General features: G+C 46.0%; 2 long non-coding RNA genes across 3 annotated transcripts in view; one reads left to right on the top strand and one right to left on the bottom strand.

Moving 5' to 3' along the window:
- The window catches only part of LOC105369617 (uncharacterized), a 257,798-nt gene that overhangs the window by 164,665 nt on the left and 74,513 nt on the right, over positions 1-18,620 (bottom strand). The window lies entirely within an intron of this gene.
- On the top strand, positions 4,526-16,924 carry LOC105369616 (uncharacterized). The gene is made up of 3 exons (XR_931575.4): positions 4,526-13,414; positions 14,083-14,163; positions 16,798-16,924. It is a non-coding gene; the product is annotated as an uncharacterized LOC105369616 (long non-coding RNA).

Genomic DNA, 18,620 nt, shown 5'->3' with positions numbered 1-18,620 from the left:
CATTTGGGGTTTCCTCTACTGTCCAGAGCCAGGTAAGCAGAGTGTTTGTCAACCTCTACTTGCAATTGTCACCAAGTCTTACAGCACGCCTACCTTCCTTCTCAACTGCATTGTAAGAGGTGAAGGTGAATACGAGGCTGAATGCTACTACAGATATCCCATCTGAGAACCAAGTGAAGCCCAGGAGGAATGAGAGTACACTCTCTTGACTCAGTCTCTCTCAACGTGTGCACGTGTGTGTAGGTGTGGGAGGAAGGGGAAGCAAGGCATCCCGGCCAGGTCGGTGGGTCACCATTACATCTCCCGTACATTATATTTTCCAGGCCATCACTCCACAAGAAAATAGAACGCCACTAGCCCCCTGCCCTCCGAGGATGCGGATGTGTGGGATCAAAGGAGAAGGGATCATAAGAAGGCAGTAGACAAATGCATGAGATTATGATCTTCCCAATCGATGACACGGGGCCTTTCCCAGCCTTCAGCCCCGGTGACCCTCATCCTGCCAGCAGGGCGCGAGTCTGCACCTCCCACAGCTGCTCAATTTAGAGATCCTGTGGAGGAGTCCCCGCTGATCCCTCGAGACCCACGGGGCTATTTACAGCTCTCCGGTTGTCTCCGCCAAGCCCAGGACTTGTGCATCAAAGTGACCAGGGGAGCCCCGTGACTGTTTTTCTCTCTCCCCTGTAGAAGTTATGAGCCCATGCCTGTCCCCAAGGCCTCTTCTCTCAGCCAGGAGCAGAGATCCACAGACAGTCTGAGGGCTCCAGCCTCACAGATTATTTCTGACCTTCCCACTCCAGTCCAGGTAATGGAGATCCCTTGTTAACTTACTCAAGGTCATACGGCAGGCTGTTGGCAGAGTCCACAACCAAACTCAGGCTTCCTGACTCACGACCCTGGGCTCTCCTATGTCAACATTGCACATTACTTTTGTTTAAGAACAAACAAGCAAAAAAGGGACACTTATACCCATGCCCAGTATTAATGTCAAATGATCTAGACCAGCCCCAAGAAACTCTGCAACTGATGCTTGTGTGTCCTGGATCACTCACCTCTCATTCTGCCTCTTGTAGTGCAAGCTGCTCTCCAGACCCCAGTTTTAGAGTCCTCCTCCTAACTCAGGTTTATTTTCTCTTCTCCTCTTAATTCTCTATATCCTACAGCAAATTTGTTCCTGTCCCTGCCCCCGCAACATATTAGAAGAAAAGATTAATCCCTAGGGAATAAATGGTTTGTGGGATTTGGTATCAGAGAGACCGAGGCTGGGCTCCTGCTGGCTGTATGATTAGGAACAGTCCGCTTCGTCTCTCTCTCTCTGAGCCTCAGTTTCCTCATCTGTACATTGAAATAAAATAAAAATTTTGTCCTGACTATATGTCTAAGCAAAATGTACCATAGGGTATTATAGACTACGGAAGACCATGGGTTGCAAGTTACACTTACCTTTAACCTTTTTCTTAGAAAGCTATTTTTACCTAAAGAGTAGAATTCCCTGCAGGAACTAGAATGTACAGCCAAGGCGATATCTATGCCAGGAGCTCAGCTCAGCTACAGACACAACTGTGTTCATACTCACATCTGCAGACTTGGCATCAGGATAATGGAAGAAGATAATGTTTTGTTCTTTTCAGGTTGATTAACTGTTTATTCTTTCAAATGGGTGCAAGATCTAAGAGTCTGAGGTCAAATGAAGATGAAGTGGGTGAAGTTTTGAGAAGAATAAAAACTGGAGAATTGACAAAGCCCTGGAGGACCCCTAAATATCTATCCCAAGCCCTCTGCTGGCCGTCCCAACAAGGTTTTGTTTACTCTTTTTCTGGCTTCAGTTCTGGGTGCCTGGGTCAAGCCCACGTTGTTATTTTGGAGCAGGAAATGATTGGCCCGTATCACAAACCTATAATAAATAGCCTCATGTCATAAAACACAGGCCCTCCGCAGCAGCCCTGCATTTGGAAAACATTAAACCATTTGCAAGTTGTTGCCCAGAATATATATTTGGTATCTTGCTGCTCCCTCCCCTTCTTCTACAGAACAGGACACAGTCCAGGCAGGACAGCCCACAAGCCTGGCAGGAACCAGAGGCAGCCCCTCACCAACAGAATGACCACTCAGGGAGACCTTTTCATGTTTATTCTTCTGTTGCATGCTCAGGACCTTTTGCTGAGGCATTGAAATTAGCACATTTACAAACATGGCACACACACAGAGGGGATAGCTTTCAAAGAAGCAGGTCACAGTTGTCTTCCAAGCAAAGTTCTGCCAGTATATCCTTCACCATCACCACCCAGGGTAAGGAATCGATCCCAAAGCCAGCATGCCCTCTGCAATTCCTTTGGCTCAGCATCCCCAGTCTCTGAGGCCAGATAACTGTGGGCACAGTGGTGCATGAAGGGCCCGAGCTGGAGTAGAAATGGCCATGCCATGCAGATCTAGGCTCAGCTCTGGCGATGAGCCACTCCCCCTAGTCGGACTCGGCTTCTGGGGAGGCTCTCTGAACCTTGGTTTTTGAGGTAAGAAGACAGGGCAGAGAGCAGAGTGGAGCACACTGTGCTCCTGGACTGGACTTCTCTAGTCAGGCCTCAAATGAAGCTTCCGGAAGTGCCCCGGGAGCTGTAGAGCAAACTCCTAATATCTTGGCAAGCTTGACTGTGCAGCAATGGGACCTTTCTTTTCTTTCTGTCCTAACTTTCTGGCTCTACCCCTTGTCTGATCCCTGATGAAGATGGAGAGTAGCTCTGGGTCAGCCTGAGAAGCAATTAACCTGGGCCTGGTCGGGGAGGAACCATAAGACCCCGTTCCCTCAAAAGCTCTTTCTTTCTTTCTTTCTCTCTCTCTCTTTCTTCCTTCCTTCCTTCCTTCCTTTCTCTCTCTCTCTCTCTCTTTCTTTCTTTCTCTTTCCTTCCTTCCTTCTTTCCTTCCCCCTTTCTCCCTTTCTCTCTTTCTTTCCTCTTTCTTTCTTTCTTCCTTCCTTTCTTTCTTTCCTTCCTTCTTTCCTTCCTTCCTTCCTTCCTTCCTTTCTCTCTCTCTCTCTTTCTTTCTTTCTCTTTCTTTCCTTCCTTCCTTCTTTCCTTCCCCCTTTCTCCCTTTCTCCCTTTCTCTCTTTCTTTCCTCTTTCTTTCTTTCCTTCCTTCTTTCCTTCCTTCCTTCCTTCCTTCCTTCTCTCTTTTTGACAGGGTCTCACTGTGGTGCCCAGGCTAGAGTACAGTGGCACCCTCACCATTTACTGCAGCCTCCACTTCCCAGGCTCAAGTGATCCTCCCACCTCAACCTCCCTAGTAGCTGGGACTGTAGGCACACACTACCACACCTGGCTAATTTTTGTATTTTTTGTAGATATGGGGTTTTGCCATATTATCTAGGCTGTTCTCAAACTCCTATTCAAGCGATCCACCCACCTTGGCTTTGCAAAGTGCTGGGATTATAGGCGTGAGCAATTGCCCGGCCCGAAATTATGCTTTCTAATGCTTAAAGCTTTCTCATTAGTATTTCATTCTTTTCATGTAAGGCTTTTTCTTTACTAGTTACAATGTAAATATTTCTGATTGGAACAGCACTGCAAAACCATACACATTTTAGTATGAATAATTTTCTGATCATACTGGGAAAAGGTATGTACAAGAAAAGGGAGGGTCAGAGAAGAGAAGAGCCTGGACTTTCTCACGTGGGGGAATGTGGATTTCAAGAAAGAAGTAGGCTACTTGGGAAAGAATAGAAAGAAAAGGGGCAGGAGCTTAGCACAATGGAGCATGAAAATTTGAGTCAGAAGATCAGGGTTCAACTCCCAGCTCTACCTCCTATTCAGCTGGGATTTCTTTTGAGCCTCCATTTCATCATCTGTACAGTGAGATTAATTATGTCTGCCTCGCTTGCCTGCCTCCCAGGGTTGTTAGATGACAAATGGAAAAGTGCTTTGTACAATGTACAAGGCTCCCCGATGGCAGTGGTTTTTATCTGTAAGCTGCCCCCTCGGTTCTTGCCAACCCACCTTCCGCCTTTCTGCTGGTTCTCACACGTGGCTGCTGTTGGCGAGCCATAGACCTGCTGACTGGGCTTCTTGCAGAGACTGCAAGTGACACCCCATCTCCTACATGTCTCCAGCCTTCCAGCATCAGCATCCTCCTGGACACTACCTGCTGCCAGCCTCAACCCCCCATGAAAACCGATGCGAGGAGCCCCCAATGTCAAATTAGGGAGGCCATGCCCACAGGCAGTGGGCGCGGAGCAGTGCTGTTGCCGTGCAGAGCAGGAGGGATGACAGAAGGGAGCCCCGGGGGGCATAAATGCCTTGGCTGCAAACCCTCCCTCTCCAAAGGGCCTGATCTATGTCTCTCCATGGCAATGGCTGGAGGACAGAGCCAGGTTGTCAGGGCATGATGCTGGGAAGGAGGGGTTTTGCCAAACTGAACTCTGGAGCCTGTCACATTGCCATCTTTAGGGAAGGAGAAGGAGGCGGAAGCATTCTCAGGCCTGACCTAGCCCCAGCCCTAAGGCTGATCAAAGACATGGGATAAAGGCAGGTTTTTTTTTTTTTTCTTCTCATTTTGGGTTTTTCTTCTAGAGGTAAATCTGTGAAGCAGGCTGAATCCATCTCTAGCATCGCTGAACCATGCTGGATGGGCACAAATGTGCACACATAGAGAGAGGTTCTGTTTTGTCACCTCTAATGTTATTACCTGCCCCCGAAGTACCCACTGAAGCTGTGCACATTACGTCATACCTTTGTTCACTTCTTCTTATACCCCTCCAAAACACATCCCCCCAAAAATGTATCTGTCCAGGAGAGAATCCTCTGACTTTCTCATGAGTCTAATTCAGGCATGCAGTAAGTTAAAAGAAGAATCCAGTTCAATGAGTTTATCTGAGAAATGCAACGATTTAATTATTTAATCCATCTGGAATTTATTATTTTACTATGCAGTAAAAATAGAGAAAAGATGGAAAGCTACCCAATTTGTCACAGAAATTCACTTTTACCCTGATATAAAACAAACAAGAAAATACTACATAAACGTATGTAGTACCAATTGCCCTATGCGTTCAAAACCCTTTGTAAAAGACTTGCAAAACAATTCAATTCAAACTACATCAGAAGTGAAATTTTGCTGTCTATTAAGATGGTTGTGTGTTTTATCTTGAGCATAGAGAATAGAAGCAGGGAAAGAAAGAGTTTGGAAAAATACCAGGATATATTAAGAGCTCCTTCAAGTGTCTGGTATGAAGCAGGCAGTCTAGGGATGTTGAGACCATCCAAGGCCCCAGGGAAGACCTCTGCCAGCCTCCTAGAGAAATGCCAAGGAGCTTCCCAAAGGGTGCTGGGACCCAGAGGCAGATGGGATACTGATTTGGCTCATGCTAAATCAGTATGTTTGTTAGGGGAGGTAAGCTCAAGACAGATTGCCATGATGGGGGTGGAAGGCTCCAAACCTCAGGCAGCTGGGTCCAAAGAGCATCATCATCACTTGGTGAGGCCACATGACCTCCTGCTGACTGGGGCTGCCTCCGCTCTCTCTCTACCTCAATCCATGCTCCACACCACTATCCACATGAGCTTTCTGAGGTGAAAATTCCAGCATGCTACTCCCCTGAGTCAAATATCTCAATAGCTCTCTGTCACCAACACACAGAGGTTAAATGATTTTAGTTATTTATTTATTCAGAGAACAGGTCTCACTCTGTCACCACAGACTGGAGTGCAGTGGCACCATCATAACTCACTACAGCCTCGACCTCCCCAGCTCAAGTGATCCTCCTGCCTCAGTGTCTGGAGTAGCTGGGACCACAGATGCATGCCACCATGCCTGGCTAACTGTTCTACATGTTTTTATAGAGACAGGGTCTCACTGTGTACCCCAGGCTGGTCTCAAACTCTTGGCCCCAAGTGATCCACCTGCCTCTGCCTCCCAAAGTGTTGGGATTACAGGTGTGGGGCAGCACACCCAACCTAATGGTTTTATAAGAGTTCTGACTAGTGGGGACACCATGCTCTCCACATACCTTACAAGACATATCTACCCAATGCGGGCCCAATTCCACAATGAGGCACAACGGGTCTTCACGACCTGGCCTCTGCTCAAGCTTTTAGAACCCTTTTTGCCATCTCTCTCCTGTAGCCTGTTCTCTAAAACCATTTTCAGTTTCTTGAACATGCCCTGCTCTTTCTTATCTCTGTGCCTTGCCATATGCAACCCTCTCGGCCTAAAGTTCCCAGCCTGAATTAGGCTCTCTCTGCTGTTGGTAGTGCAGCTGTCTGGTCTGGACAGCTGGCATAGTACTTATTGTAATGAATTGGCTATTGATCCACCTCCCCTTCTAGATTGGGAATCCTCCAAGGGCATGTTTTATCCACTTTTGTGTTTCCAGTTCTAATGCAGTGTCTAAAACATGATTGATGTTCAATAGGGTTTGGTGTAATTTATTATGTCCAACATTTACCTCCTTCCCCAAAAGACCTCATGGTATTGTTAGGGAAGACAGAATGGTGTTAATTCCCAAAGAACTAAGACCTTGATGGGAAAAAAAAGGGTAAAAAGCTGTGGGGTTTCCAAATAGGAAATCCTATCAGTTGCTCTACATTTATCAGCTTAGCCCATTCATTCATTTATTCATTCATTCATTCATTCATTCATTCATTCATTCATTCATTTTTGAACAAAATCTATTGAATACTCTAGCGGTCAAGATCATTTAAATTATCCTGCAGTAACAAATAACTCCAAAGTGGCAAACATTCAGAACAACAAATGCTTATTTGTCACTTAGGCTACATTTCCAGCATGAGTTAGTGGGAGGGCAACACTCCATACCCCATCTCACAACTTTGCAGGCCTGGAGCACACGACCTTCTGGTGTGCAAGGGAAGAGCTGGTGGTGGAGGGTCTCTCATCAGCTCTGTTAGGCTTCAACCTAGAAGTGACACTCATCCCTTCTGCTCCCCAGCTGGTCGATCGGATGAGTCACATGGCACCACCTAACAACATGGAGGCTGGGAAACGTGGGCAGCTAAGAGCAAATATTTGGTAAGTAGCACTCGCCCTGCCTTGAGCTTCTACCATGTTCAAGATATCAAGCTAAGCACTGAGGACAAAATAAACAGACATGTCCTCCATTTTCTCCCTCAAGGAGTTCATAGTCAACTGGGTGATCGAAAGTTTAAGCATGGACTTAAAAATTATCAGGCAGATGTTCTGTCAGGCTTCTCAACACCTTCTCAGTAATAAGCCGACCCCAGTGAGCCAAGTTTCAGAACCAAGCTCGTGAGAGTCCCATGCATTCAATTCAGCCTCTTCAGTACAACACCCAGATTTGCACATTAACCCTTAAGGTGCATTAGGACTGTGAATTGTCAGCCTAGATCCTGAGAAGGATCAGGCTCTTTATTTCTTCTTTTTCTTTCTTTCTATTTTTTTTTTTGTCAGCCTCTTCGCCGCAACTCCCAACCCTCCGCCCACTTTAGATGCAGGATTCTGCTGTGATTCCTCATCTTCTCCTCTCTTCCCTTCTTCTCTAAGCAAGCTATAATCTTCTTTTTATTTTTTTAACAGGAATGTATTTCTTGCCTATTTCTCTGCACAAGGTAGGTGACAGCCTAATATAAAATCAAAGTTTTGTATTATCTGGAGAGGCTGAGAATAAAACCAAATCCTCCTCTCATGTCAGGAAACTTCCAGCTTTGAAGACTCAAGGATATCATGACAGAAAGTCAAAAGTGCCCTAAAAATGTATAAATAGACATTTCTAAGTTTGAATCCTAGTATCCATATTGAGGCACATCCCAATGAATTGCTTACCATCTTTCTCCTCTTTTATTTTCCCTGCAGCCTCCCACCCTCACCCTCTGTCAATTGCCAGGTGACCTTCTGCTATCGCAAGTGATTCAGGTCCTCCATCAATGACTGAACTTCCAGACAGTCTCTTGTTTCATATCCAAGAAACCCCCCCTTTCCTCCCCCCCAAAAAACTACCTGTCCTGAGTCCCCTTTCTCCTCAGATGACCTGTGCATAAAAGGAACGAGGAGCACCGGCCTGGCCAACTGGTCGAACACCGAGAGGTAAAAGATTATGTGTGGGGATCCAGGGCCCAGAGCAGCTCTAGGTAAGGAAAGGGAGGTCTGGCCAAGCCAAGCAGCCAGCTGGCTCTCTTGGCCACACATTCCCATCAGCTCTTCATCATGTACTGGTCTGGGAGATGAATGTGCTTGGAAGTCATGGGGTGAAGAAAATAAAGACCACAGAGGGGCTGCCTTGTGTTTCTCCTATATCAGCAACGGACACAAAGATGGCTATGGGATCAAGAGCCACAGATAGAGATTTTTTTCTCCACTGTCAACCTCCTCTTTAAACATTCCCCCTTTCCCATATATGCATTGAATGTTATGCCCTGTCAATGGGCAATTGTGTTTTCAGAAAGAGCTGCTCAGAAAGAACCTTGGGTAATACAAAGGAATGAATGCTGGTGGCTGAATTTCAGGTATCTGTGATTCTGTTGGTGAGAAATATATTTTCATGACTGCGGACCTCCCAGCAAGTCTAAAAGCATACTGCATAGGCTTAGGCAGCTGGCCTTACCCTGTCAGGTAGCACATCTGAGGTTGCCACTGAATGCAAAACCATGAAACTAGTATTTTGGTACAGTGTATAGGGAAAACACAGCTCATGATGAGCTTATGATTTACATGGGGAAAAAAGAAAGTTGCAGCCAGTTACTGGGGATGTTTAAAGAGCAAGCGTAAGAGCTGATAAGTGTGTAAATCTCACTGCTCAAGTGAATAGTGATGTGAAATGAAAATAATTCACATAGCCTTTAAGAAGTTACTCAACTTTCTGGGTCACGCCTGTAATCCCAGCACTTTGGGAGGCCGCAGATCACGAGGTCAGGAGATCGAGACCATCCTGGCTGACACGGTGAAACCCCGTCTCAACTAAAAATACAAAAAATTAGCCGGGTGTGGTGGTGGGCGCCTGTAGTCCCAGCTACTCAAGAGGCTGAGGCAGGAGAATGGCGTGAACCCGGGAGGCGGAGCTTGCAGTGAGCTGAGATCGCGCCACTGCACTCCAGCCTGGGTGACAGAGCGAGACTCCGTCTCAAAAAAAAAAAAAAAAAAAGAAAGAAAAGAAGTTACTTAACTTTCCTGACTCAAACGTTCTGGAGATTATTCAAGTTGGATACAACTTTAGAAATTATTCTTTTTATTTTTTGAGGTGGAGTCTCACTCTGTTGCCAGGCTGGAGTGCAGTGGCGTGATTTCAGCTCACTGCAACCTCTGCCTGCCCGGTCAACATAGGGATCATCCACAAGAAGTGGTCGTGCAACCTCTCTTGAGCACACTCAGAGATGGGCGTTTGTTGCTTTGTAAGCCACCTATTCCACTGGAGAATTATTACAATCGATTATCACACTGTTACTTTACCAACACCTATGCCTCTAACTTGGTCATCTTCATCCTTTTGAGACATTCAGGTAAACACGGAAGATCTAATAACCTAAAAGCACTGTAGGAGATGGCATGGTCGTCAGGTAAGGCCTGGGAGAAGTGGGCAGCAGTCTCAATATTTCCCCAGCACCCTCCAGCAGCTGCCCTCTCATCAATTGTCCTCCATGTTACCAGCTCATTTTCTCTTATTCTCTCTGTTTTCTTAGTGTCATCCACAGACACTAAACTATGTGTCACTACATTAAAATTCCTTTTCATAAGTGCTCAGTTTTTCCTCTTCCTCTTCCCTTCTTTACAGATCATAGCCCTCTGTGCTACAATAAAGAGATACTAAAATACAATTAACTTAAATATGATGGTTTCTTTCTGTCTCACGGAGCAGTCTAGTGCCAGTCTTGGCTAGCAGAGCAACTCTTCTGCTCCACAAGCTCACTCAGGGACCCAGGTTTCTTTCCTTTCATACTTCTTGGTGGTCCAAGCTGAGCTAACACAGTCAGCATTCCAGAACACAAGGAGCCCGAGGAGAGACTCCAAAGGCACTGCTTTTGATTTGGGTAGGCAAAGCTGGAACTGCACATGTCAATTCCACTCACCTCCATTGGTGAGAGTGGAGTCACAAGGCCCTGCCTCACCACCGGAAAGGCTGGGAAATGTAGTTTCCAGTGGGATGGATGCATGTCCAGGAAGAAAGGGCAAAGAGACGTTGGAGCTTTGGAGGAACAGTTACCAGTATGCCACACCACATTTTCTATATACTTTTTCCTTCTTTTTCTTTCCTTTCTCGCTTCTTTATTTTCCTTATCCCTTTCTCTTTTCTTTCTCTCTGGACTAGCCATAATATGGAAAGTGTATGTATGTGTATATATCTACATAAACACACACAGTATGTATAGAGAGAGCATATATATATATATATTTATGTATATATACAGTCATATAGATATATATATGCTTTTTCTGTATACACATACACACACACACACACACACACACACACACACGCTGAATTGGAAGAGCCTGAGAGGCACCTGCAGCCTGCGGAGAGGAAATGCCACCCACACAGTACTTCCCTGAGTCCATTCTTTCTCTGCTCCTCGGCCTGTGGTTTTGTCTTTCATGCAGGCCTCCCTTCCCCACAGATCCCAGGTGCAAAGAAGGTGGGACTTCTGTCAGTTCTAAGCTGTGTGCTCAGCTTGTGAGTGAATGGGCTCAAGACTCACACTGTGACAGGAGGGAAGGAGCACAAAGGGAAGAATCATCCCTCCCTCTGCACTCACTCTCTGCATTGTCACTGGCGGGCTTGATCCCCTGCCATTCATCCTAACAGCAGCCAGGCTCAACCATCTGACAGAATCTGCTCATGCTCTTATGAGCCTAATCCCTTGGGTCAAAGAGGCAGTTCCTATCACTGAAATATCAGAAACGAAATAGACCAGGAATTGCCAAAGAGAGGGATTATAGAATCCAACTTGGAAATTCAGGCAGTGGGAAAGAAGTTAGTCACGTTCCAGCTATTATGCATGCAACAAATGTCTGATATTTTTTAAAATTTGTTTTGGAGGGTGGTAGGGAATGGAGTACAAAGATGATTTCTTTTTAAATTCTTCAAAATGTTACCTTCATAAAGAATGAACAAATGTCAGGGACAGGCACATCTTGGACTGAACTTCAAGTGAACTGATGGCAGGCCTCACCGTTCTGAAAATATAAAAATTGAAAGCTGCCAGGGCTCAGAGCAGACCATGCATTTGCATCCTATTTAAATAATGTGCAAGAATCTTTGGTTGAATGAGGAGTTTTTAGCCTTGTCAGAGAACTTTGGAAGTACTTAGAATGGAACTGCCAAGGATACCCATGGGCCATGTCACGCGACAGCTTGAAACCAGCCCAAATGCCCTCAAGGAGACATTCCCAAACCTGCGAGAGAAGAGCCTTCTGCATTTCCACGGCAAGCAAGGTACACCTGTCAGAAACTTTCTCTAGGTGCATCTGGTCTAAAGAGTAGTACTTTCTGGTGCTTGAATTATGAGACAGAATCTCCTCTTGCCATCTGCCAGGGTAGTTCAGCTGCTGAGATTCACATTTTTGCCAAACAGTTCCTACAGTCTAGGGCCTAGGGTTCTGCCCTGGTATGTTCTCTATCTGCACTGATATCCTGGGTTTACCTACAGGGAACCAAAGGTCACTCAAAGCCCTGAAAGATAACAGAATAAGTGTGTGTAAAGAAAATCACACACCATAACCATCATGTAGTGTATGCTCAGTCAACATTCACTGAGAGAGTTAAAAGGAAAACTAGAGAATCCTGTCTTTGAAAAAGTATGATCCTCTTGGGTCAGTGGCCAGGCCATATGGAACTCTACAAAGCGGAATTAATTCTACATACTAGATATACAAAGCAACCATTTATTATTACCAAATTCAACTTGTAACCTGAGATAAGGTCATCTGGATGACCCAGGTAGGGGAAAAACATAGAAGAATTACTGTCAATTCTGATGTGTATTAAAGGCAATGTTGTTTTGTTTTGTGTATACCCTGATCACTGCATAACCCACACCTCCTCAAACGGTTTGGAAAACTTCCTGATGAATTGGCCCCCACGCATCAGGACTGAAGAAAAGTTTTCTGTTAGGAGTGTTAGGAGTGTGCCTGGAAGAAAAAGAACACCCCTTGTCTATAGAGATAAATCATTTCCATCAATAAATGGACTTTGGTGGCAGATTAAAGATGGCTTCAAATTATAGGACACTCCTGCTATTGAGCAATGGCCTCTATTTCCCCTTCTCTGAGTTGAGGTGGCCTGTGGCTACTTTGACCAGTAGAGCGTGGTGGAAGTGATGCTATGCTACTTTGGGGACTGGCAGGTCCTGCCTTGGTCTTCAGGCCCTGAGCTGCCCTGTGAAAGATCCAACTACACTGCTAGAGAGACACTTTGGGGCTCAAAGAGAGGCAGAAGGACCAGGTGAGCCCAGCAGTCCAGCTGTCCCACCAAGGCCCCAGGTGAATGAGTGAAGCCGTCAGATGCTCCAGGCCAGTCCAGCTGCCAGCTGAACGCCACTGAATGACCCCAGCCAATGCCACATGGAGCAGAACAATTGACCAGCCAATTCCTGCTCAATGTCTTCACCCACAAAGGACTCATAAAGACTGGCTATAGTTTTAAATCCATTAAGTTTTAAAGTTTTCACACAGCCATAGATAACCTGAAAACCATATGTATGGTTATAAAATTGAATTAGCATGAAGTGATAAATTATGAATCTCCTACAGCCATAGGGACCATCTTTTTCTATTTTCAGAGCAGGGGATGATCTGGTGGGTTTGAGAGAGGCAGAGACAAACTGTTCTAGAAAGTTGGAGATATTGGATCACCAAAACTAAAATAAATAGCATTGAGTTCAGGCACCCAGTGAGGAAGTACTGCTCCAGGAGCAGACCTAGGTCTTGCTGTGTCCCTCTGTGACTGCAGCAGGCTCCGCCCCCCTCCACACTCCCTCGGGCTTGCAGTTCCTCCTGGCTCCCTGGAATATCAGCATCCGCAGTCCTTCTTTAAGAGGCAGCCAGCAGGAACGCCTCCCTTGCTTCTGCGCCTCCCTTGATGGGGAGGAGCCACCAAGGCTACCAGCTGCTGGCCTCCTGAGTGACAAAACCAGCAGCCATATTAGAGTGAAGAGGCCTGGTTGTGGAGGGCTGTGCGCTCAGCGTGGAATTATAGCAGTTCATTTTCTAAAGTGCCACGAGACCTGGGGATGAACCTTCCGAGAGAAGGGAAAACCACAACAGCAGTCCCCTCGTAGAGATGCAATTCATCATGGGCAGGACGGCTGGGTCTGTCAACAGGAAGGGCTCTTTTCCCTGTGACGCACAAAAGCAATCCCACGGGCTCTGTGTTGCAGCAAGAGGACCCTGAACTCCCTCAGACACCCTGGCTGTGTGCAGGGAGCCTCCGAAATCCAGAGACGGGAGGCATGCATCGCCATGTGAGCACCGAGCGGAGGCATAATGGGACTCCAGTTCCTATGCCCCCACCATATTTTCTCTCTAATTAAGAGTGGGGATAGTTTGTGGTGAGGGTAGTTTGCAGTGGGAGTGAGACCCATTTATTTTGTTTCTTGTTATTTTTTCATTGAGATGTAACTTAGAAGTAGTCTCAGGAATAAGAGGGACACTTTTGCTTCCTGGTAAACAGAGGCTAGCAGTCTACTAATAACCTGGCTAAGAGACCAGGCAAGGTAGCAGCTGCCATCCTGAACACCACTGCATCAGCTCAGCCACCTCCCAGGAGTGAGTCCAGCCAGGAGTGAGACCTTGTGACCCCACAGAGCCCACAATACCCCACAATGGAGCAGGGAGCACCAGCCGGAACTCACCCCTGCTGCCATTCCTCCTCCTACCAGCAAGCCTCTAGCGACATCTCTGAACATGGTCTCTCCCTGCTCACACTCAGCTATGCAGAGCGGGAAAAGGTACAACCTTCAGAACGTTCTGCTTAGCTACTACGCTCTAACCCGGTGGATAAAGGATAACCAGCATCCCCTGTCAGGACACAGGGAGCTGTCCTGCAGAGCTGGCTCTACATCAGATCTGATCTGAATGCACTTGTTCTAAAACGCTTCATCAAAAGATTAACTGCATGCTCTTCCTTCAGCGTTTCCTGTCCAAAACAAGCACTGGGGATTCTGAGGAACCTCTGAGGAGCACCCTGCCTTTACTTGCAGTTCTTCCAGAGGTATCTGAGTTTCCATATTGTCTTTCTTTCCCACGTCCCCTTCCCATCCCTGGGCATAAACACAGAGTTTAAGGTTTGTTATGTCTTGTGTTCAGAAAGCCTTTGATAGAGCAACACTTCAGTGCAACCCATTGCGACCCTGCCTTTCACCTAGTGGCTGTCCTCCTCCCCGCCCCCGACCCCGTGGTCTGTGCCAGGTGGAGGCAGCGCCCCCTCTAGTGGTCAGCGCCTTCGGCCTCCCTCCTCTTGCTGAACAAGGCTTCTGGGAAGAACAAGGTAAATTGTTCTGGGGTTTAACGCAGACCCCAGAATCTAAAGGAAAAAAAAAAAACCACTTTTTTTTTTTTTAACAGGAATTATATTTCTGTCCAATGCAAAGGATGCCGTGGGGTCACTCTAGCCAATGAGCTTCTGTCTCCCTTGCTCCACACCCTCACTCCCACATACTGGGCCAACACAAGCAGTGAAAGTCTAGCTAGTCATTGCCTTCTCTGGGCTTCAGTGTCTTCATTTTTCATATCAGAAAAAAATAATTCTTTCTGCTGCCATGATCCGGAATCTCTTACCCATAGGGAACGGTGTTCTATGTCCTTCTAATTCCTCATTTGTTTCTGACAGTTCCCTTTGGCCCCTTTCAGGACTGACATCAGAATAGTCCTTAGAATGTAAATCTCATTCTCTACTTACAACTCTTCTGTGACAGGGAAATTATGACACAGCAGATACTCAGCCCTTCAGAATGAGTGGAATTTGGGGAGAAAAGGTCTTCAGAGGACTGTAAGAGAGTTTTCTGGGTGCTGTACGGCAAAAATCAGACCTTGCATCCTCCCCCAGCCACCCACCCAGCTCCTAAGTTCTAACCAGGTGGGAAGAGTGACCAGAATTCCCTGCTGGGTGTGGGAGGTCATGCGCAGGCCCAGGTTTATTTGAGTTTGCTCTTAGGGGGTTTCCCACCGTCCCTAGAATAGAGCTAGTGGCTTCAGAGTGGGCTCCAGTCCTGCGCCACCAGGACCAGCTCACTGTCCAGCCTCTTGTCTCTCCACTGCCTTCATTTCCCCAGGCCCTGCCACGTGGAGCTGCAAGAATATTCTTGAGGAAGGGAGATGCTCTCTTGTCCCCTTGATTGCACATCTGTGGCTTCCCCTGCTCTTCCCCATGCTCTCTGCTGCATCTTACTGAGTACTCCAAGGGAACCATTCTCCTCCAAATCTCCCATACCTGTAGCTGGCTGAGGGCCTCTCACAGGCATGGGCAGGAGCTACCATTACTCCCCACCACTGTTGTAATGGCCTGATTACCTGTCTGTCCATCGAGGCACATATGGAAAATATCAGAGTCACAGGGCAGATAGGAGCCGTGCAGCTCACTTGGTCCCAACCCAGTCATTTCCACTGTAGAGATTCATTCATTTTCTTTCACGAACTTAACAGAGAAACCAAATATATGACTTCCTACCAAAATACTGCATGCCTCCTAATCTTCCAGCCCCCAGCCTCCTGAATGTTCAGCCTTCATTGCCAAAGAAGACCATTATTTGGGAACAAAGGTATTTTGTAGTCTTGAAGATCATGATTCAGTTCTAATCCTTCTACCCCCAGGCCTTCTGTTATTCAGACAAAATAATCTAAATTCCTTGAAATTTTCTTTTTGGAGTTATGAAAATTGGAGACATCTTATGTGGAGTTTTTAAATTCGAGATTCTTGCCTAAGAAATTCTCCTTCCCCCCATTTCTTTTCTCTTGGCATTTTCCCCCAAGAATCATCTGGAGAATATAATTGTTTCATAACTGTGAGCAATGGGGCTAGTCCTCAGGCCTGATGCTCTGGTGTGGACAGTGAGACCTACACCAGTTAGGGTGTGGATGGGGGTAAAGTGAGATCCTCTTTTCTTGGTAAGCACAGAAAAGTCTGTTAGATAAAGGAATTGGTTGACACATTCCTGGAAGCAGTCTACACCTCTTTGCACTGCCTTTTTTGATCCGACTTTCTCCAATCTTCAATTGTTAAAGGAAGGAATGAATTTTTCACTGGATCATGATAACCAGAAAATGAGTCCATCGTAGCCAGTGTTGACCCCAAACTTGGGAGTTCAGCCATAGGCGATTACTAGCAAGCTCCTGAATGTTCTATCTTTGTAGTTGCTTTGAGCTAATATAACCTCCACCTAGCTGGAGGGGCCCCCGCTTGGATAGCATTCAGCTCTCCTCTACACAGCGATACAACTAGCAAGCCAAGGGTCCCATTGAAAGCAGCAATATTAAGTCACTCACTAGAATCATCCATAGCTGCTTCCTGATTGAAAAAGTCACAAACTTGTGTCGTGGTCCTGGCGAAGTCCTTCCCACAACAGGCAGTCTCAGGGAGGACTCTGAGTACACATCCTACAACAGGTCTCTCTTCAGCAGCTTTGAGATGCTGTGAGAAGATGATAGATATTAATGGAAGCCACTTGATCTCCATCCCTGGAAAAAACCTCCTTGAATGCTCTTGTCACAGCGCCTAGTAAATATATGCAGACTTCAGGGTTTGTGGTTGAGAAAGTTAAGAAGTCAAGATTCCCCATTCTGGCCCATTGAAGAATAAGTAATGTACGAAATAGAAGGGCAGCCTTACCACGTGTGCTTTTCATAACAGAGATGTTGGAGCTGACAACTGGAGACAATATGGCTTGGTGACAACATCATAAAAGGTATGCCAATGAAATGTGTATATGTCTCCTCAGCTTATGCATGCATGTGCACACGCACAAGGCTAGAATGAGTCAAAGCCTCTGTTGTCAAAATCAAGGAAGTGCATCGTGCATGGCGGAACCAAGCAAATACAAATCAGAGGGGACGCTATCCTGAGGGTAACCCTGACAGTGAAGGGTGGGAGGAGCGGGGTCTGGAGATGGGGAGCCTGCCCCTTAGGAAGCAGAAGACAAGCCTCAGAGCCTGCTGTTTGGGGGTTCCCATGCTATTTGCCTGCAGTAAGACTCACATTCCTGTAGCATGTGCTTTCTTGCATCTTCCCTTGCTCAGGCAGTCTCTTCTGCCTAGAGGGAGGGATAAGACTTTGCTGGAAGAGACTCTGACAATTCCAAGGGGTCCTGCAAGTAGATTCCTTGCATGGGGCAGTAGGGAGTCAGAGTCTCCCAGCTAAAGGGAGTATTTTTGTCTGACTCTTTGTCTTCATTCAGGCAGATGTTTAAACCAGTCATTACAGATAGCAAATATTTTTCTAGACTTTTCTTTCTTAGTACGATGATACAGTCTCCTTTGCTAGTTATTCTAAGATTTTACACAGTGTTTTCCCCACTAGAGAAAAATCAATTTCACATATGCAAATGAAAAACTCATTTTCTCTCTCTCTCCTTCTCTCTCTCTCTCTCTCTCTCACACACACACACACACACACACACACACACACACACACACTCAGACACACAGCAAATGGGGGTGCTGGGTTTTGATTCATTCTGGCCAACCAAGGAAACTGCAGTGTGCATTCTTCTGTGGACATCCCAACTGACCTACAATGGAGTGGATTGCTTACTCAGCAATATTTCATTAGGGTTGATTCGGCCATTAATTGCTTTGTGGTTTCTGACTAATTCCTTCTTTCCCTTTGGTGCACCACATCCTTTCAAGGAGAGAGAGCTTTGAGGGTTACTTGGCAGCTTCACAACTTCCATTTGCTTAAAAATGTGGAGATACCACCTAGATTTCTTATATTCAGAGAAAGAGAGAGTGAGATACAAATTCTGTCATTCCAGGGAATTACAATCATGCAAGCTCACACATTCCATCCAGGAGTGCCCCTGGCTGAGCCAATCCTCCAAGTCAGATCCAGGAACAAATCCCCTCATTTGGGCACCCAGGTGCTTCATTTAAAGGACCTCTGAGTTCTCCCCAGAGTGAGAACAAAGGAGGACTACAGAAATGATGATGACCGAGTACCTAATCTTGAGCTTTACTTTTAAATGTGCCGGGGTATCCTATGGAAGTATGGGTTCTGAATAAATTCAGAGTCAAACCTAAGATAGATGTTCAGCTGTGGTTGATGGCAGCCATATTCCTGCTAATTTCTAGCATGGGACAGATGATCACACCTGTAGTTGGTTGGCTAATATCAACATTAGCTGCTATTAGGTTGGTGCAACAGTAATTGCCATTAAAAGGAACGACAAGAACCACAATTACTTTTGCACCAAACTAATAATAGCTGACTCTATAGATTTACAAGTCCTAATCAGTCATTTGGATTACCATGAAAATTCGTTTACTAATAATAATATTTATTGAGTATACATAGCATTGTAAGACTATGTATTTTGCTTGCATTATCTCATTTAGTTCTCACAATATCTTTATAAGGTAGGCACTAATATCATGTCTGTTTCCTAACTGAGGCTCTAAAGGGTTAAGTAATTTGCCAGGGACAGACACAGTTGGTTTCAAAGCCAGGCAGTCTGATTC

The sequence above is a fragment of the Homo sapiens genome, chromosome 12 (assembly GCF_000001405.40).
Source record: "Homo sapiens chromosome 12, GRCh38.p14 Primary Assembly".
Taxonomy (NCBI): Eukaryota; Metazoa; Chordata; class Mammalia; order Primates; family Hominidae; genus Homo; species Homo sapiens.
Note: the sequence above shows the minus strand (reverse complement) of the source record. Positions and strands in the feature narration are given on the sequence as shown.